Source organism: Homo sapiens, chromosome 10, assembly GCF_000001405.40.
Source record: "Homo sapiens chromosome 10, GRCh38.p14 Primary Assembly".
Lineage (NCBI taxonomy): Eukaryota > Metazoa > Chordata > Mammalia > Primates > Hominidae > Homo > Homo sapiens.
In genome coordinates, this window is record NC_000010.11 from 52966768 (window position 1) to 52988876 (window position 22109).

The 22109-nt window shown below is 36.3% G+C and overlaps 1 long non-coding RNA gene across 4 annotated transcripts in view, besides 1 other annotated feature; it reads right to left on the minus strand.

Moving 5' to 3' along the window:
- Window positions 1250-1785: an enhancer, noted in NCBI's record as "OCT4-NANOG hESC enhancer chr10:54727777-54728312 (GRCh37/hg19 assembly coordinates)". NCBI's record gives its function as "activates a minimal SCP1, AML or CMV promoter by ChIP-STARR-seq in primed H9 embryonic stem cells {active_cell/tissue: H9 hESC(primed)}" and the evidence as "EXISTENCE:reporter gene assay evidence [ECO:0000049][PMID:30033119]".
- The window catches only part of LINC02672 (long intergenic non-protein coding RNA 2672), a 57847-nt gene continuing 41234 nt past the window's right edge, over window positions 5497-22109 (minus strand). For 2 of the 4 annotated variants that reach the window (NR_186378.1, NR_186377.1), the window contains exons 3-5: window positions 8973-9046; window positions 7898-8033; window positions 5497-6923 (exon numbers count right to left, since the gene is read on the minus strand). This is a non-coding gene — a long non-coding RNA (long intergenic non-protein coding RNA 2672). Of the gene's footprint in view, window positions 6924-7897; window positions 9047-22109 lie in introns of all 4 variants that reach the window. The other 2 variants (NR_186376.1, NR_186379.1) reach the window with 2 other exon arrangements.

The window sequence follows — 22109 nt, forward strand, 5'->3', positions numbered from 1 at the left end:
TGAAATAAAATATTTAACATGTTGAAGTAGAATAGAACAATACTATAAAGTTAAATAATTTAATTTTCATAAGTGCAAGAGCTTGAGGAAAGCAGGCTTAATTGGAAATTATGGAAATTTTCTAAGATTTTGAAGAGATGTGGTGGTGAAAGATGCTGGCTTTCCTTTTAGCTGTCACTTCAAAATATATAGCTCCCTCTTACCTATCTGCAGATGTAGTACTAGATCTAACACTAAGAAGCCACAATTAAAGTCATAAAATGAACCAAAAGATGCTAGAGATGGACTGAGAGAGAAAGCTGAAATAGGGCAGAGAGAGGGAGAAAAGCAGAGGCAGGTGATTGATTTCCTGATGAAACTGATGAGAGGAAACCACAGGCAAGTCTTAAAGTGGGTGTAAGTCTGTGTGAGAAATGTTGATGAAAAAAGCCAAACTTTGTAAAATATTTAAAGAGGTTTATTCTGAGATAAATGTGAGTGACCACGGGCCAAGGCACAGTCTCAAGAGCTCCTGACACCATGTGCCCAAAATGGTTGGGTTACAGCTTGGTTTTATACATTTTAGAGAGATGTAATTCACCAATCAATACATGTGAGGTATATATTGGTTCAGCCCAGAAAGGTGGGACAACTCGAAGCACAGGTTCTGAGGTGCTTACAGGTCATAGGTAGATTCAAAGATTTCCTGACCTGCAATGGGTTGAGAGTTAAGTTATTACCTAAAGACCTGGAATCAATAGAAAGGAGTGTCTGTCAAAAGATAAGGCATTGTGGAGATCAAGGTTCTTATTACATAGATGAAGTCTCATAGAGGACCAACCTTAGAGACAATAGATGATCTATTTAGACCTTTAAGAGGTGCCATACTCTCAGTTAGTCTCTTCACAGTTGGGAAGGCCTGGAATGGGAGAGATCTATTTACGTTAATATAGATTCTTTACAGATGCATATTTCCCCCCACAGAAGACAGTTTTGCAGGACCATTTGAAAATATGGCAAATAAACATATTTGAGGTAAAATATTTTGATTTCCTTCTTTATGTGTCATGTGATGTCAGACTAGAGTCAGGTTGGAATTAGATATCTTATTGATACAAAGAGTCTGTTTTGTCAGTCTTAAGATCTCTGTTTTAATGTTAATGCTGATCAGTTGCACCTGAACTCCAAAAGGAAGCGAGTAGAAAGAAGCATGTCTGACCCTCTCTTTTCTGTCATGGCCTGACCTACCTTTTCAGGTTTCCTTGGGTTTGCTTGGCTCAGAGTGAGATCCATTCAGTCAGTTGAGGGGCTTAAAATTTTATTTTTGATTTACGGAAGTGTTTCCAGAGACAGATCAATTAGTCATGAAAGATCAAAAGGGAGTTTATGAATAAGTAATTCAAAATAAAAGCTATTGGAAATTTAAACTATTTTGAGCCTTAAAGGAATGTGATTATGGGCCCTTAGTCATGTGACAGGCAGCTGTAACCTTTGTTCCTCTGATTGTAGATTAGCCTTTTGTTTATCTACATTGTTTTGCAAAATGTTGTAAAAGACTAAAGGGTGCCAGAGAAGACCCCCTTCCCTTTCCACTGTTGATTTTCATTATAGATTAACTTCCTTTTTTTTCTTTTATACAAAGGCCTCAAAACTATCACATCACATTGTCTATGATGGAATGTTAAATATATTCTTAAATTGGAAAAGGAAAACAACTGTAACTAACCAAACTGCTGTAACTCATAAACCAGCCTTTTGTGAAAAATGTTGTAATCTTGTCATTGATTTGTTTTCTGCCTATATAAGCATGAATTGTCAGCTTTGGAGCACTTACCTTGTTTCTTTGGAGTCTGCGTTAGTCGAGTGGCTATTCTCAGCTTTGCAATTGAATAAACTCTTTTAAAATGGATTATGATTATTTTTATTATTTCAGGTTGAAAGGAAGAAGCAAAAATATCAGGCTAGATGAATTCCTAACAGGAAACAATATCTGGGTATTGAAAGAAGTGCAGTTGAAGAAACATATGGATGGCTGTGAGTTGTGTGTGTACCCGGAGTTTGCTAGGTCAGGAGTTTATTTCTCAATGAACATATGTACAGGGGTTTAATGGTTCTGGTCTATCTTTTAGAATATAACTGATTAGTTATTTATTTTGTCCTAGAAATATCTACATATGTTTTAATCTTGGAAGAGACCTAAAATATTTTTAGTGATAAACAAATACTTTTGCTGCTAAAAGTGCAAAAATCACACACTCTGGCTTTCCTGTTCATGCTTTTTCACTTTTTCATCTTTTGTTTTAGAATCAGGAGTTAGATGTGCAGGTTTGTTACAAAGATATATTGTGTGATGCTGATATTTGAAGTGTGAATGAATCTGTCGCCCAGATAGTGAACATAGTAACCAAAAGTTAGTTTTTCACCCTTGCTTCCCTACCTTCCTCCTCGTATTGTATTCCCCAGTGTCTATTATTCCCACCTTTGTGTCTATGTGTATCCAATGCTTAACTCCTACTTGTAAGTGAGAATATGTGGTATTTGATTTTCTGTTCCTGAATTAATTCACTTAGTATTATGGCTTCTAGCTGCATCCACATTGCTACAAAGGACATGATTTTCTTCTTTTTTTATGGCTGCAAATTTATTTCAATTATAATTTTATTATCTATGGAATAGGTACCCTAATACTCATATATGAGCATGAGTATTTGGAGGAATTTAGGAGGTAAGGGAGATGTTAGAAAAGAAAAATAGCTCAGACCAGTCTGAGCTATGTCAGGCATGAAAAAATTGTCAGGTCCAGAAATACATGAGAGTGGGACTTTACTTATAGCCCCCCACCCCCATATCCTCACACATGCATGGGTGTTTAAAGAATTTCTGTTTTTGATTAGCTGCCTCACCCGTTATCTTTATGTTCCTGGAATTTGTGATGCAAATAATGATGTATAGCCAATCAATAGCTTCTGTAAATTCTTGGTGAACTGCATCTTCTTTTCCTTTAAAAAAATCTCCTTTTTTTTTTTTTCTTTCTTTTTGTAGAGAGGGGGTCTCCCTGTGTTGCTTGGGTTGGTCTTAAACTCCTGGGCCCAAGAAATCCTCCTGGGCATCTCAAAGTACTGAGATTGCAGGCGTGAGCCACTGCACACAGCTTTAAAACCTGCTTGTCACTGTTGTTAATCAGAGTGTTTTTGGGGCTACTTCAATTTATGCTCCCAGGTTGCAATTCTCAGGCTTGACCCAAATAAACTCTCTGCTTATATTGATCTTGCCTCAGCTTCTTCCTTTTAGTTGGTTTGATATTTAACATTGTGTCTGGCGTATGGTAAGTACTTAATAAATGGTAGCTGTTGTTAATTTTTTGTATTTGCTCTGTGTCAGAACTGCTGTTTGATTTCTTATTGTAGCAGCTGAAAGAACAAAAGCATTCATCCTTCTTGGATTTGCATTTTGCAGTGTAAGCAGGTGGTAAATATGTGCCTTCAGGCATCCCCCTTGGGTACATAATCCTATATTCCTGGCCTGAGTTCAGTTCCATAGATTTTATCTCCCAGAGATATTTGGAGAGATAAATATATAACAACGAAGAAATAAAGAAGAGTTTCTTCCATAGACAAGTTTAGAACTGCATTTGGAGAACAGTGACAGCTATCCAGTACTCCCATGGGCTAACTGACTTAGAAAAGACATTAAAAGGAAAATAAATGAAATTGAGAAATTTCAGTAATTATTTCTAGAAATTCCTCTACATCATAGACCACCAGTTGGCAAGTGCTTCTGTTAGAGAGATAGAATGGAGGAAGACGTTGTGATACAGAAACCTGTAGCTGTCCCTTTGAAATTCACTCTTTCCTTACTAATAGAAATAGGAGAGTATTGGCTGACCTTCCTTATAGTTGATGATGGCCATTTGACACCGTTCTTTCCAGTGAGATATAAGTGAAAATTATGCTGCCATAGGGGCAGGAAAAATAATAATTTTGGACAGGAGCTGTGGCTCATGTCTGTATTCCCAACACTTTGAGAGGCCAAGGTGGGAGGATCATTTGAACAAGGAGTTTGAAATAAGCCTGGGCAACATGGTGAGACACCGTTTATACCAAAAATTTAAAAAAGTAGCCAGATGTGGTGGGACATTCCTGTACTCCCAGCTACTGGGGAGGCTCAGGAGGGAGGATCATTTGAGCCCAGGAGATAGAGGCTGCAGTGAGCCATAATTATGCCACTGCATTATAGCCCAGGTGACAGTGAGACCCCATCTCAAATAATAATAATAATAATAATAATAATTTTCTCTCTACTAAGTTCTTAACTGAGAACACTGTAACAAAAGGCAGTTTAGTAAGAGGAAAACACAATTTTATTTACATCTATACCTCATATATGCATGTATAAACTAAAAATAAAATTCTAAGCCCCTTAGCTGACTGAAGGGACCATCTCTTGGCCAAGGGAACCTCAAAGTAGACTTGAAAACTGTGTTCTAGGCCATGATGAGATGGGAAGGTTGGACATGCCTCATTATACCCCACTGCTTGCTTATTGCAATTAGGCTTTCTTCACTAAGGCCTAAACAAAAAGTAGCCCTTTCAAAAGACTCCACCACTAATATCCACCAACTGCCTGTTGCTTCCCCTCCTTTTTTTACCTGTTAAGAGACCACTGACCATGGAGGAGTTCTGGCCAGTCTATGGAGAATGCCCAATAAGAGTTTTTGTGTCCTCTCCTTTATTTTTTGACATCAGAGGGCTGAAAACTCCACCCTCAGATCACCGCTAGTTTTTGAACATGGAGACTCGTGAAGCTGTATTGCACATGTGTGCACATGTGGACACACACACACACAATTTCTCCTTTCATAAATATTTATGACTCCTCCTACTGCTTATTGAATATGTATATGTGGCCACCCTACTCAGCATAAATCCCTGTTCCCTTTGACCCTTCCTCAAAGTATCTGTTTCTGGCTTCTGGCTGGAGGCTATGCTTCCCAGTCTTTCAGAATGGCTACCTGCAAGCTATAATCCTCTATAAGAAACAAAGTCTCCTCTTCTCGTTTTCTACATTTATAAGTTGTGTTTTTCTTTTAAGCTAACACATGGGAGATACTAGGAGAAAATGAGGTGGCTTAGAATTCAGGCTTGAAACCATTTTCAGCTAAAGACAAATGGAATTGTCACAATATACCCCAACAGACAGACCAAATGGACTTTCTGTGGCTACAATGAGACAAAGCAAAACAACAACAACAAAAAAAACCCTAAAACAAACAAACAAACAAAAAACTCCAGAATTTCATGGCTAGTAGGATGAAGGATTGTTCATGTATCCTGTTGTTGTTAATTTACATAAGGTTTCTTTTCTGTAATTAAACAGAAACCAGCTCCTGAAAAACATTGCCAAAACAACTATAATTGAAAAATTTTCCAACCAATACTAATAAATCACTGGACTCCAACTGTCAATGCCCTTTCCTTGCCTTGTGGTCCTGCCAGCACTCTGATTGGACAAAGACCGTTTTTATCACATTCTTTATTGATAAGTGACCATAGATCTTAAGCCAGTTTCAGTCAGCTTGCAGAGACTATGTCCAAATTCTTTTTGCCCTAGAGTTTACCTTTTGACATAAACAGTCGAATCCCAGCTGAAACCTCACCCCCAGGTCAAAATGGAATGTATGTTACATACAAGTTTATCCAATTTTCAAGCACATGACTTCCCCTATAAATATTCATGGAATTTTCCCAACCGTGCTCTGTATGTATTTAAGACTGACTCTGTGAGAGTTTTTTGGTGGGTAGGTCTATGCAAACCAACCCCAAAGTCCCAGGAAGCTGAGAGGCTGAAGAAAGAGGTTGATACATCTGGTATCTAGAAACATTTAATAGGGACTTAGAAACAGAAGCCACACCTGTGGCTTGTGCAGCAGTGAGGCAAGATGATGGGTTCCCACACTATTAGCCCCCAGACCCAGAGGGGTTTATCTATTGTAGGGGAGATTACATGTAGAGGAGAGGTGCACATGCTTCAGAGGGAATGGGTAGAAATTTGCCCTAATAGCAGGATTTATGATAAGTACTTGTTCTTACACAAGGGACAGTAGATAAATTGGAAACCTCAGAGGCCCTCCAGAACTGGGGTTAATCAGAAGCCAACATGGCAGATTAGCATCCAAGATGGAGTTGCTTTAGCCTCCAGATTCCACTCCACTAATTTGGCTTTTATAATCTCACACACCCTCATCTTCTGTTATGGTCTCTGAGCATTTAGGGAGAGTACTTGATAGGATATAGGTTTAGCAGAAGTGCATTGGTGATGGGAAACAGATCAGGCCCAGTGGGGTTCCAAATGAAGAAGATTCATAGGCTATTGAATCACCTCTAGTCTTCAGAATATCATGCCTTCAGTTTCTTAGAAGTAAAACAACGAGAGATACACACCATTATATGCCAGTTTTTAAAGAGCATGAAGAAAACTAAAACCCAGCTCTTTTTTAGAGGCCTCTTGTAGCCAGCAAATAGTTCAGAATTTAGCCTAAATTGTAGGAAAATAATAAAAATTCAAAAACAATGGTCAGGACCTAGAATCCAATTTTTTCTCTCTCCAATTTCTTCATTTCTACCAAGGATAAATTATGGCAGGAACAATTTATTTGCAAAATTTTAGTCTTGTTATAGTGAGACATAATAGACCAGCTCCCCCTTCCTTCTGTGAAGCATGCACTTTCAAATTTTCGCAAAAGTCGCATTTCCCCAATTTTGGTGTTTCAATTTTTTCTCTTCTATAGTTCAGTGAGTGGGAGGGAGTGGTGCCAGTGGCTTCTCTCCTGTTTGGCAAGCAGGAGAGAATGTTACTGCTCTTTTACTACCACTGCTCACAGCTCGGCAAGCAGGAGCATTACAGGTCTTTTGCTTCCACAGTTCGACGACTTCCAGGTTCTTGTCCTGCAACCAAGAAAAATAAGATATGCAGACACCTGAAAGTGAGTAAGGCAGTAGAATTTTATTGAGCTACAGAAAGAAAGCTGTCAGCCACACAAGCAGAATGAAAGTGGGTAGCAGCCTGTGAGGCTGAGTCCAGGGTTTTTATGGGCTTAGAAGAGGTGAGTGTGTACTGATTCGTCTGTGTATGGTCTTGGAAAAATCACTTTTCAGTTGGCTAAAAGGCTTCATTCAGAAGGAACCAACTGAGAGTGGGTAAGATGGGAATAGAAGTTCTCACTCTGGTCAGGGACTCTATCTGGAACTGGCAGCTCAGTTTTCAGGCTTTAAACTGTCTTTGGCTTGAAGGTTAGGTTTCACTGGGAATCTGTCTCTGTCTGCCTATGAATATGTCTGTCTCCTGCTGCTATCAATCCCCCATCTGAAGAGGTACATCTAGCTGTTAGGATAGGGACAATGACCGTTCATACTGACAGGGAGCATTGTTTTGGGAAAATGGCAGTCAGATATCATTCAGAGACCTGTAAGTGTCCCTGATAAAAAGGAAGCCATCATCTAAGGCTCCATTTGCATGACCCTTTGGAGTTTGATGGCCTTTAGGCAAGAAGAAACAAATTTTACAAGGAGGTTAAGTATGCATGGACCAAATATAAGTATTATACAAAGAGGAGCTAAAAGGGAACATTTAGTGCCAGAGATAAAAGAAAAAAGTAAAGTAGACTAATTATTCTGAAAACAATGTTGTGGCCAGAACTGTTTCACCCTTGTGAAGGAAACTAAATCTTGTATGGGGGAGGATAGTTACATTTTAGAAGAGAGATAGTTGTTTAAGGGAGTAGATAATCCCATGGGTGTTCAGGATTAAGGGGTCCTTGGCAAAGACACCTTATAGTGAGGAACAGAATGAAGATAAGAACAGCAATCATAGACAGGACTATAAAGAGGATATCCATGAAAGGTTAATTATAAACACTTACCTTTTATGACTTTTAGCTTGAGGTCTCTGATTTCTGCACACTGGTGCTTTTGGTGCTCTTCTGGGTCAACAGAGGTAATTCTATCATTTCCCCAGGCCTTTGCTTGAGTGTAATGAACCTATTCCAGTGACCTTCACTAATGAAGGAGGAGAAAGAAGTATAGTGTAATGTTCCTCCCACTCCAGGCATACTGGAATATTAATGTTTGAAGAGGAAACAGAAGTTATTCATCTAAGCATTGCCATTTCTAGCCAGAATTTTGAGGGAAGGCTCTGGGTTTGGAGTTAATAATTTAGTTCTACATTTCGTATTTGCCATTCTGTAGTTTTATGATTTGGGGTAGATTATTTAACTTTCTCACATAAAATATATTTTACCTAACCTGCTAAACCTTACCTTATTTATTTATTTTTTTTTTTTTGAGACATGGTCTCATTCTGTAATTGATCCTGGCGTGCAGCGGTATGATCACAGCTCACTGCAGGCTCCACTTCCCAGGCTCAAGTGATCCTCCCACCTCAGGCTCCTGAGCAGCTGGGACTACAGGTGCACACCACCCACATCCAGCTAATTTTTGTATTCTTTGTAGAGATGGGTTTTCTCCATGTTTCCCAGGCTGGTATCAAACTCTTGGGCTCAAGTTATCTGCTTACCTCAGCCTTCCAAAGTGCTGGGATTATAGGTATGAGCCACCACACTCAGCTTAGTCTGAAGTTTCTTATATATAGAATGCTAAGGATAGCTGGTGTGCTGTTTATCTTTCAGAATGGAATTAATAGATGAGAACCCTTTGTATGAAAATATGCAAACAAAAGGACAAAAAGTTACTTCTGTACCCTCTGTAGTCCCTTAAGGAAATAACTTATTTTTTGTTTCCTTTACCAGGAATTTATATTCTAACAGTTCCTCCTTATTGGCCATTAGTAAAATTCCCAGGTGTCTATTTCAGGGCTTCAGACAATCAAGTACTTATTAAGAACTTACATATTCTTAGTATTTTTGTATTAGACATTAAGATTTTATGTTCCACTTAGAAGATTAAGAATAATAGGTCTAAATATACTGTAGCACATACACTTCTTTGTTTTGAAAGGCTTAACCAATCATTTGTTACTGTTTTTCCGTTTTTGTCTTGTGTAATAAAAACACCTAAAAATAAACACAGAAACAAACATAAACCAGTATTAGATCGTTCCATTGCAAGGAAGTAAATACTTAATCAAGATAGTAACTGCTTCTTAAAATGGCAGGTATATGTCATGTGCTCACACTCCCACATTGCCTTAAGTTGTTCATTCTCAGAAGTAAATGAAAAGCCAGCCAAGGTCTCAGATTTAATATCAATATTCTATTTAGACTCAAATATGTGTACCTTGGGTCCAAGTAGGCACATCTAAGCCCATGTATTTTCTTTTATAAAATGATCATATTGCAACTCTTTGCTTTCATATTATGTATTTCAGAAATAACAAAAACATCAGATAATGACTTTCCAATGTTTTTTCATGATGAAAAATGTCTGGATATATGGAACTCACTTTAGTTTCCATATGTACATATCTAGCTATGTAACAAAAATGTGTCACACACATATGACACAGAAATTAGATGTGTTAAATATGAGACTGCTTTCTGGTTTGCTATTTTATCTTAATAGTATATAGACATACTCTCATGAATCTTTAAATTTTATTTTTGTTTATTTACTTATTTATTTTGAGACAGGGTCCAGCTCTGTTACCCATGCTAGAGTGCATTGCACAATCATGGCTCACTGTGGCCTCGAACTCCTGGGTTCAAATGATCCTCCCACTTCAGCCTCTGGATCAGCTAGGACTATAGGTATGTGTCACCATGCCCAGCTAAATTTTGTATTAATTTTGTAGAGACAGGGTCTCGCTATGTTGCCCAGGCCAGTTTCCAACTCCTAGCCATAAGTTTTCCTCCTACCTTGGCCTCCCAAAGTGCTAGGATTACAGGCAGAAGTCACGGTGCCTGACCCACTTATAATTTCTTCAGGTGAGTTATGGGGGAAAGTGTTATTGTCTCAGTTGATGTAGGGAAATCCACATGCAATCTAAGACCTCAATGGGATATTAAACTTAACCTTATTCTCAATATGAAACCAGCCCAATTGTCACATGTAAATGATATTTATGGATTTTTGAAAAAAATAGAAATTGATCCTCCCAGTCTTAAGACATGAAATTTACATTTGTATCATCTGAGTTCCTTCCTTAGGAAACTGACCAGATCACAATATCCAGACAATGAGAAGCCAGCCCATTCATTTGCTTCCTTATCACTCCCTAATTCCTTTCCATAGGTAGCTATCCCTTCCCCCACATAGCTCTTCTTTTCCCCACTATATAAACCTCTCAATTTTAGCTAGTCCGGGAGATGAATTTGAGACTTATTTTCCTTTCTCCTGGTTGGTGTCACCCAAATAAAAAGACTTCTTCCCTGGTAATACTTGTTGTCTCGATAATTGGCTTTCCGTCCAGTAAGCAACAGGACCTAGATGAAATCCCTGGAGTTTCAGTAACACATACTTGCACCACTCTCAGGAACATCCTTAGGTTTTCTTGAGAAAAACTGAAGGGAACACATATATGAATCTGCCTTACAGAATCCAAAAAAATGGCATTTATCTTGTTTATCTACAATGTCTGAAGCTGAGGTCAAAGAATTGAACTTTTATGAAAGTAAAAAGATTTTCCTCTCCACTTTTGTAGCACTCTTCGTTTCTTTTCAATTAGGTACCCTCTCCCACTCCATTACTTTAATATTCTGCCCTTAACCTAACTGATGAGCTGAGAAGTTGAGACAGAGTAGGGATGGGACTCAGCACGTGCCAGACCTGGCCCTTTCACCCTCACACATGCATTTTTTCCATACCCACCAATTGTCACAGCTTACACCACCACCTCTACTGGAGCCACTCCTGATGATCACAAGACCTTGAAAAAACTAAGATAAGCAGCACCCTACCATAAATATTAAGGGAGTTAAAAAGCAACTTCTCACCACAACCCTTGCTCAGAGGAGTTGACCCTATTGTGTGCAGGTGGCTGCACACAAGAGCAGAAGAATGACCTATCTTCGTGCCTGACCTCATTATAATACTAAAATCCACACCCAGGGAGAGGCTTATCTACCATTTTGTGATAATGTAGTGTATGTACTAACATGATTTCTCACTGTGCTTGTGTGACCTGAGCTCCACCCTGCACATGTAACGATTGTCACATACCTCATACATACTCATGTCACCTTTCCTAAAAACACAGCAAAGGCCTGCCCTTAGCCAGCTGACTGGAGAACTCACGTGCCTACCTTGGCTCCCTGGTATTGGAACATAAGCCACTAATAAAGGGCCTTGTCTGGGAAACTTGCTTGGCTTTGTGTCAATTTCTATTGCACAGGAGCCTAAGAACCTGTGGTCAGTAACTGAGGCACCTGTAAACATTGTTCCTCCAGTTTTTCCTTTCTTCCCAGCAATGAATTCAGACAGGATATATTGGTGGCTCTGTTTAACCAAAAACTACTCAGTTTTTCTCTATACCCTTATGAGGATTAAATGAATGGAGATAAATCATGTCTACAGTGGAATCAAAAGTTCTCAAACTTGCCTGTTCAGGATAACTCTTTCTTATAGAAGTCAATTTTTTCATATATATTTTTTTATTTCTGATCCCCTCTTCCCACAACTTCTACCTCTAATTTCTATTCACTTTATTTTTATAGCATTTTCTTTCTCCTATGTAGTTCTGTGAAGGGGGTCTGTAGTGGATATAATCTATATTTAGTACATGATTAATTTTGTCTTTGCTGAGGTTTTTGTTTTTTTTTTTTTTTTAACAGCAAGCTTGTCCTTAATTTGCTGAGTTCTTGGCTATATTTTGTTATGTCCCAAATGTGCTGAAGTCTCCTATCACTCCTACAACTGCAAAAGAAACATCATTTTATAGTTTCATCCTTGTTTTGTTTTTTTTTTCCCTACATTGTAGAGACTTCAGAAGATGTATATACTACATTTTATTCTGAGATTTCTAACCTAACTTATTGTCCTTTTTTCAGTTTTCACATTTTATGAAAGTCATGCATACATGTAGTTTGAAAAGTTGTAGTTTACACTGAAGACTTAAACCAACAGTCTTATGTCCCACCCATCTCCAACTTTAATTCCCTCTTCCTAGAAATAGCCACTCAGTTTTTTTACCTGTTTTCTCTAACATCAACATCCATCTTTCTAAATAAAATTTTTGTCCTATTTTTTTGTTTTAGATATTACATACTGATATCTTTCTCTGGAAGAGAACTATGTAACTCAAATACGTTCCTCTTCCAATATTCTAACACTTTCTGTCCTCCAATTTTCCCCCGTATAACATACTATTTGCTTAGAGTAGTATGTATAGAGATTTTTATTATGAGTATGTAATTTGTACTCACATTTAAACCACAAAATGTACCATTAGTATATTCCCTTTTCTGTAATTTTTAGTTGTCTTGAAGTTAGTAATTGCCTCATTTCCTCATTTTCCAGGTTTTTATGTTCTAATTAATTCTAAAAATAGCCTCTGGAATTGTTAATTTTCTCTAAGGTACATTCAAAAAATTATTTTGTCCTTTTCCTTCCTGCCTGCCTTTTTGTCTTCCCCCCTTCCATGTTTTCTATCCCTCCCTCCTTCCTTCTTTCTTTAATTTTTCTGGACTTATACCCCTTTGACTCCTTCATACTCCTTCTTTGGACTTCAGTATTCTCTGTCATGGTGTGCTGCATAAATCACACTTGGATGTCACTTCACCAGTAACCTTGGAGATTTCCTTAACCTGTCATCTGTGATGATGCAATGTCCTATTCTCTGCCTTGGTCTGGAGTAGAGTTATTTCTAGAATGTTGCTGGGAAGGGTATATGAGAAATATATATTTTTTGATATTTTATTTATAAGGTATCTTTACTTTCTCTCAAAATCTTCAAGGCAGTACCCTAGTTTCTTCTAGCTTCAGTATTGCCTCAGAGAAGTCCAGTGATATGCTGATTCCTGGTCCTTTGCATGATATATGATCTTTTTTAGTCATCATTTCTTGGATGTTAATTTGTGTTGTAGTGTGTATTAGTAATTCGTTCCTTTTTATTGCTTAACACGATTCCATTGTATTAAGATGTTTTGTTTATCCACTCATCAGCTGATGGGAATTTAGATTGATTGTATGAATTTCGCTTCTGCAAATGTTTTTATACATGACTGTGTGTGAACATACATTTTTGTTTTTCTTAAGCAGGTAACTAGGAGTGGAACTGCCAGGTAATATGTTAAATGTAGGTTTAAATTTTCAAGAAACTGCCAAACTGTTTTTCAAAGTAGCTGTACCACTTTACATTCCCACCAGCAATGCATAAAGGTCTCAATTTTTCACATCTTTGCCAATACTTACACTCTAAGTCTTTTTCAATTTTAACTATGCTACTTTGCATGTAGAGGTATCTTATAGTTTTAATTTGCATTTCTTGATGACAAATTCTGTTGAGCATTTTCTCATGTGCTACTTATCATACCTCATAATGTGTCTATTAAAATATTTTGGCCATTATTATTATCAAGTTGTAAGAGTTTTTTATAGAGTCTGGATTTAAGTCCTTATTAAGATATATGATTGGCAAATACGCTCTCTCAGCTGTAGCTTGTCTTTTCATTTTCTTAATGAAGAGCAAAAGTTGTAAATTTTGATGATGCTTAACATCAATTTTTATTTAATACATCATGCTTTGATGTTATATTCGAGAAAAAATCTTTTCCTAATACAAAATTATAAAATTTGCTGGGTGTGGTGGCTCACCCCTGTAATCCCAGCACTTTTGGAGGCTGAGGTGGGAGGATTGCTTGAGGGTAAGAGTTGGGGACCAGCCTGGGCAAAAAAGTGAGACCCTATCTCCATAAAAAATTAAAAGTGAGCGGAGCTAAAGTTGGGAAGATCACTTGAGCCTAGGAGGTCAAGGCTGCAGTGAGTTGTGATCATACCACTGCACTACAGCCTGGCAGATAAAGTGAGCCCCTGCCTTGAAAGAAAAAAAGAAAAATTATACAATTTTTTCCTGATGTTTTCTTTGGTAAGTTTTTTTTTTCACATTTTGTACTTATTTTTAAGTCTGTTATATATTTTGAGATTAGTTTCTTATGTGGTATGAAGTGTAGGTCTAAAACAAATTCATCGTTTTGTATGTGGATATCCAGTTGTCTCAGTAGAAATTGTTGAAAATGCTATCCTTTTCCCATTTAATTACCTTGGCACTTTTGTTGAAAATCAATTGACCTTTCATTTAAGGATTTATTTTGGGACTCTATTCTGTTCCATCGATCTATATGTCTATTTTTATAACAATACCGCACACACTCTCAAATACTTCAGCTTCATAGGGTACTATAAAGTTGATTATGGTAAGTCCTCCAGCTTTTCTCTTCTGTTTCAAAATAACTTTGTTCATTTAAGGTCTTTTGCTTTTCCAAATCAAGTTTCGGATCAGCTTATGAATTTCTGCCAAAAATGTGGGATTTTCATAAGGATTGAAACTGTAGATCCATTTGGGGAGAATTAACATCTTAACAATATGGATTATTTCTGTCCATGAATATGAAATGTCTCCCCTTTAATATTTAATTTATCTCAGCAATATTTTATAGTTTTCAGTATACAGGTTTTTCACAACTTTTGTTACATGTATTACAAAGTATTCTACTCTTTTTAATGATGTTGTACATTGTATTGTTTTCTTAATTTTAATTTTGAACTTTTGTTTCTAGTATATAGAAATACAGTTGGTTTTGCTGTATCAATGTTACATCTTGAAAATCTGTTAATTTTTTTTTTATTAATTCTAGTAGGTATTCTGTAAATTCCTGAGGATTTTCTACATGAGGAGTGATGTCTTCTGCCAATAAAGAAAAGTTTACTTCTTCCTTTTCAATCTGGGGGAATTTACTTTCTATTTCTTGCTTTATTGTACTGGCTAGAACTTATAGTACAATATTAAATGGAAGTAGTGAGAATGGATGTACTTGTCTGGTTCTTGATCTTAGGGCAGAAACATTGTCTTTTATTATACGTATATTTTTTAAGCTATAGGTTTTATGTAGATGCATTTTAATTGGTTGAAGATGTTTCTTTTTATTCCTATTTTACCGAAAGTGTTTATCATGATTAGATGTTGGAATTTGTCGAATGTTCTCTCTGCATTTATAGAGATGACCTTGTGGATCTTGTGTTTTTTCTTCTTTATTCTAATATGGTGCATTAATTAATGAATATTTGATTTTTTTGCATAATCCATGAGAAGTAAAATGATGTTATATTAATCTTAAATTTCTGGGATAAATGACACTTGGTCATGGTGTGTAATTCTTTTTAATATATTGATGATCTAAAAACTATTTTGTGGCTGGGTGCAGTGGCTCATGCCTGTAATCCCAGCACTTTGGGAGGCCGAGGTAGGTGGATCATCTGAGGTCAGGAGTTCGAGACCAGCCTGACCAATATGGTGAAACCCTGTCTCTATTAAAAATAAAAATTTAGCCGGTTGTGGTGGTGGGTGCCCATAATTCCAGCTACTTGGGAGGCTGAGACAGGGGAATTGCTTGAACCCAGGAGGCAGTGGTTGCGGTGAGCTGAGATGATGCCACTGCACTCCAGCCTGGGCAATTGAGCAAGACTCCGTCTCAGAAAAACAGATAAACAAAAAACCTATTTTGCTCAAGATATTTATATGTATACTCATGAAGAATATTTTTCTCTAGTTTTTATTTTGCATGATTTTACCCCCTAGCTTTAGAATAAAGGTAATATTGGCGTCTTAGAATGAGTTGGCAAATATTCCCTCTTCCTCAATTTTTTTTCTTCTCAAACTTTTATTTATTGGAGATTAGACCTCCTGAACTAATTTTCTAAAGTTATTATCTCATTTCTCTTATGCTTATCTTTTTTTGTTATTGTCATAAAATACATATAATGTAACATTTTCCCTTTTAACTATTTTATGTGTATGGTTCAATGCAAATACATTCACACTGTAGTGCATCCATCACCATCATGCATTTCCAGAACGTTATTTTCCCAAACTGAAATGCCCTACACATTAAACAATAACTTCCCATTCTCCTCACTCCAATCATGGCAACCACCATTCTACTTTCTGTCTCCATGAATTTGTACCTGTGTACTCTATGTACCTCATGTAAGTGGGATCGTATAATATTTGTCCTGTTGTGACTGGCTTATTACACTCAGCATAACGTTTTCAAGGTTCATCCATATTGTAGCATGCATCAGCATTTCCTTCCTTTTTAGGGCTCAATAATATTCTATTTTATGTTTATCCCACATTTTGTTTATTCATCCATGGACATGTGGGTTGCTATATCCTTTTGTCTATTGTGGATTATGCTATAATGAGGAGTATACAAAAATCCGTTCAAGTTCTAGCTTTCAATTTTTTGGGGTGTATGCCCAGAAGTGGAATTGCTGAATTATATGGTAAACTTTTGAATTTTTGAGGAATTACAACATCATTTGTTACATTTATTACAAAGTGACTGTACCATTTTACATTCCCAGCAGCAATACACAAGAGTTTCAATTCCTCCGCATCATGCCAACCATTTTTTTTTTTTTCTTTGAGAAATGGTACCCTTCTATTACCCAGGCTGGAGTGCAGTGGTGCAATCTCAGCTCACTGCAACCTCTGCAGCCAGGGCTCGAGTGATCCTCCCACCTCAGCCTCTCGAGTAGCTGGGACTATAGGCATGCACCACCACACCTGGCTAATTTTTTTTTTTTCTTTTTTTTGTAGAGAGCGGGTTTCACTGTGTTGCCCAGGCTGGTCACAAACTCCTGGGCTCACGTGATCTTCCAGCCTTGGCCTCCCAAGGTGCTAGATTATAGGAATGCACCACTGTGTTCAACCTCCAACCATTTTTTTAAAATTAATGATTGACATTTGAATGGGTGTGAAATGGTATCTCGGTATGGTTTTGATTTGTATTTTGCTATTGATTAGTGATGTTGAGCATCTTTTAATGTGCTTTCTGCCATTTGTGTATCGTTTTTGGAAAAATGTTTATTTGCCCACTTTTTAGTTAGGTTTGTTGTTAATTTTTTGAGATGTTTCAAAGTCACATATTTAGATCTGTTATTGCAACTTTTATTTCAGCTAAAATTTAAACATATAAATATATATAGTTTTGCTATTTTCTATCCTCTCCACCTCCTATGGTGCGATATTTTCTATCTCTACAGAACAATGAGTTAGAGGTTAATAATATTGCATTTACTCTTTGTATTGCCTATATTAACTAGGCTATGATTCCCTTTAAAGATTTTTATTTTGGACTCTATTTTTTATGTTATAACTACCAGTGATTTTAAGATCTGTAATTTTCTGTTTATATGTAACAGCGAGTCTCTAAATACATTAATTTAAATTGACATACATATTTGGCCAACTGGTAGGCTTTGTTTTGGGTGATCTTGCTAGTCTGTATCATTGGAGGATGCCTCCCTCCCTATACCAGACTTTATCTGATTTTTATCTTTTTTTAGAACCATTTTCCTACAGGGGAATCTTCTCTTCTGCTTGTGAGGAAGGAGCCTTGAGTCTGGAGCAGAGTTATAAACCTAGCTACATGTGTTCTTGGAGATGAGTCATCTCACTATTTAGAATTCAGATTTTCACTCAGTATCTGTATTTTGATTACATGTCTTGCCTTTAGCTATGTCTGATTTTCCTGAGTCTAAGGATTTTTTTTTTTTTTAAATAGAACTTCCTTCTTCTGCCAGGTATGTGGGAGACATGATTCCCAGTGCACAGTATAGTGAGAATGTCTGGAGTTCTATCTCTCTCTTCTTTTTTTAAATGTGGAATTTGAGTCAAACCACCAGCTTTTAGCCCAATTTGGCATACATTAGTGGTTCTGCCATTGGCTGAATATTAGAAGTGTCTTGAAGATTTGAAGGGAAACAATATCAAACAAACAAAAAGTGGAAAAGATAGAAAAAAGAAGGGGAAATCATCATTTACTAGCCAGAGATCCTGGTAGATAGAGGGTTTTTTTAAAAAAAAACGCCTGATGTGACTGTACAGGGTTTGGAATGGCTGCCTTTCTTTTCATCTCTAAGCCTTCCATAGTCCCTGTCTTACAGCATCTCCTGCCACTGTTCACTTTTATAATGAGGCTCTAGCCACATTTTTGCTGTTTCAATAACACTCTATGTCTAAGCTTTTATGGGGGATGGTGGGGAGAAAATTGTTGCCATTGTTTTCCTTTTGATTTGAATCTCATGATTAAGATTTCTGAATTCTGCTTCCTTGCCTTCTTCAAGAATCTATTAAAATATCCGAAATTTTGCTTTTTTTCTAACCATCTGATTTTAAATAGCAGCACTCAATTTCTTATTTTTTTCTTCATTCTATGCTTCATTTTTCTCCATAGAGTGTTTGTTAATTTTAAAATACTACAGTTTATATTTTACTTCTTAACTTATCTTCCCTTGCTTCTTCCAGTTAAGTAAATGTTCTATGAACCAGGAATTTATATTAGTTCCATTCTCAGTTTTTCCTCCAGATTCCCAAAGAGAAACCTAGGTATAATTCTATGTTTAATAAAAAGTTGTCAACTCAAGAAATAAGTAAATGAGTTAACACATAGTAATATTTCAAAATATGTGAGAACAGTAGAGAAAAACATAAATATAATATAACACTATACATTTTATTTCTCAGCTTTTGATAGATCAAACAGACCCCTAAAATTAGGGAGATAGTAGGTATTCTGAATAAGATTAGTACTAAATTATTTTATGTTTCCAATGGTAAAAATAATATGAAAGATTAATAAAATCTTTATAGCTAATATAAAAAAATTTAAAAAATAACAGAAGTAGAATTGAAACCTACAAATACTTGAAAACAAAACAAAAATAAACTCCCTTCCTAAACAATTCTTAGTCAATGCAAATAATGATGAAACATCTGATTTTAAACTTCTTAAGTATGTGTCTCTATGGATTTGACTAAAATAATAAGTAAAATAATAAAATAACTTCTTAAGTAAAACTATAAGCAAACAAAAACTCTGCATTTTGTCAGTAATAAGTAATATCACAATCACCTTATTTGACCCAGGGACTTCGTATTATAAAATCAGTCAGAAGAAAAATGCACTTGCATGTGTATTGAAATTCCTTGAAAACATAGATATACAGTAGCTTCCAAATAACCAAGGAATATCAATATAAAATAAAAATATATTTAAGTACGAATATGTTGGAAAAGTTTAAAAGTGTATTTTTCATACGTATTCCTTTAAAATATTTATAAATTCTTTACCCTTGTATTCAAATGTGTTTTCTTATTACATTTCATACTTAGTATTTCAATAAAAAACATTTTCTCTAAGGCTAGTAATAAAATCAAGTTAATATCTTTCCATAGACTTTTATTCACTTTTCATGTTATGAATCTCCTTTTGTTGTTAAGAAAAGTACCCACTTGCGGTTCCGAAGAGCCACAACTCTCATCTTCAAACAGGTCAATGCTCTAAGCAATAATCCCACAACTGGAGACAATGTATAAGGCAATAAACTCCTCCTGTTCCATAAACAGTGAGCCCTGAAAGCTAAGTGTTTATGACAGCAGGAGCTTTACTGCTGAATGACATTTTCTAGTACTCTGGAAATATTGTGGAAGTGAACAGAGAAAGATTATCATGGCAAAGATATAAAGACTTTAACATTTTTACCTTTTTTTGTAGAATTTGAAGAATAAATAGAATTGATAAGCAAGAAACTATGTTTATTGCATACAAGAATTGTGTAAGCTATTTACTGAGTTTATCAAAGGCAGGCCTTTGGATCCACTCTGGTGAGAGTAGGTCACTCAAAACAATGCCACTGGATTTAGGAGCATTCTCTACTGCCTAGAAAATACTAAATGAGGAAAAAATAAATAAATAGGTAAATAATGTGTGCACCAAATGGTGGATCACACTGTTCATGAAAAAAATATATGTTGGCCGGGCGTGGTGGCTCACGCCTGTAATCCCAGCACTCTGGGAGGCCGAGGCGGGCAGATCACGAGGTCAGGAGTCTGAGACCAGCCTGGCCAACATAGTGAAACCCCATCTCTACTAAAAATACCAAAAGTCAGCCGGGCGTGGTGGTGGGTGGCTGTAATCCCAGCTACTCGGGAGGCTGAGGCAGGAGAATCACTTGAACCTGGCAGGCAGAGGTTGCAGTGAGATGAGACTGCGCCACTGCACCACAGCCCAGGTGACAGTGCGATACTCTGTCTCAAGAAAAAAAGGAAAATATATATGTTGATAACTTTTTGCTTTTAAAAGTAATAATGCTTATTGGGGTAAATACAAAAATAGAAGAAAAATTTTAAAACTGTGTATACAATCATGACCCAAAGACTTTTCCCATTTTGAAGGGTCTCTTTTCAATATTTTATTTTTACTTATTTCTTTTTATTATTTTTATTTAAAAATATAGAGATGGAGTCTCGCCGTGTTGCCCAGGCTGGTTTCCAACTCCCGGTCTCAAGTGATCCTCCCACCTCAGTGTAAACTGGGATTACAGGTGTGAGTCACTGTCCCTGGACTGTTTTCAGTATTTTTCAACATGTATATATGTCTTGAAACTTTAATTTTTAAGTTTTTATTGAAATTCTTGTTCATTTTAATTTAAAGTTGCCTTAACTCCATAAGATGATTGAAAGACTCTTCTCCAAATTTCTCAAATCAGAAGAAAGTACTGTTAAAAGTGTCAGTTGTATTCTTTTCCACACTTTTCTATACACATGAATAATCATATATATACATAAATGTGGATATATGTAAACAACTTTATTTATGAAATAGACAAAATTTTAAATCTGTACACTATTGTTTACAAAAATTTAAATTCTCTTTTTTTTTACTTATAATTGATAGGAATTGATATGAACATTTCACATTACTATATGGTATCAATAATTGTCATTTTTAATGGTTGTACTAACATTCTATTGAAAGAAAATGCCAAAATGTAAACAGCATTTACTTATTGTTATATACTTGGATTATTTGAATTTTTCGGCATGTAAGTTATATTTTGACAAACAACTTTTTGGAATTAATTTTTTTTTAATATTTGATTTGGAGTTAATGAAAGAAAACTCTTATCCTTTAGTACAAAGTTGCCTTTCTAGTGTGTTATACTATTTTTATATGCCCACAGCAGTGTGTCAGAGTCATTAAAACTTAATCATTGGAAACTTGTAAACATAGAAATGACATAATGTTATTCACAATTTAGATGAAAAAATAGTGGGCAGAAGTAGTTAGAAACTGAGTGCAGCAAATAAGGCAAGAAAAATTATGTGAAAACCTAAAAATATTTAATAGCACAAGCAATTATTTATGTACACACACATATGTGCACACGTGTTGTTTGTTTTTTGAGGCAGATTCTCACTCTGTCACCAAAGCTGGAGTGCAGTGGCATGATCATGGCTCACTGCAGCCTCAACCTCCCAGGTTGAAGGGATCCTTCCACTTCAGCCTCCCAAGTAGCTGTGACTAAGGCATGTACCATCACTCACGGCTAAATTTTTTTTTTAAATAAAGATGGGTTTCCACTATGTTGCCCAGGCTGCTCTGGACCTCCTGGGCTCGAGTGATGCTCCTCTTGCCTTGGCCTCTCAAAGTACTAGGATTACAGGTATGAGCAACCATGCCCAGCCTAAATTACATATTTTTAAATACTCTGTTCCAAGAATTGTTTTAAGTCTCTGGCAGGTTCTTGAGACAAGGTCCAGATACTCTCTTCTGAATATATATAATTAAAATAGTTTATATATATATAAGTGAACTTGACATATTTAGAGCATAATGGGGAAAACTTGGTCAAAATGACTTCATTTTCAGGCTTGATGACTAAGTGAATGATAATATTATTTTTTTCACCCTTTTTCTTGCTCTGTTTTTGCAACATTCCCCTCCTTCCTCCATCATTCGTAGCGCCATCTCAACTAAATGACTCTTACTCATTTTTCAGGACTAGGAAAAATGTCTATTCATCCAGGAAACCCTCCATGACCTAACCACATTTAATACAATGCTGTTCCTTGGTGCTTTCTTATTCCCTAAACAGACAGAGGGGTGGTGTCTTTTA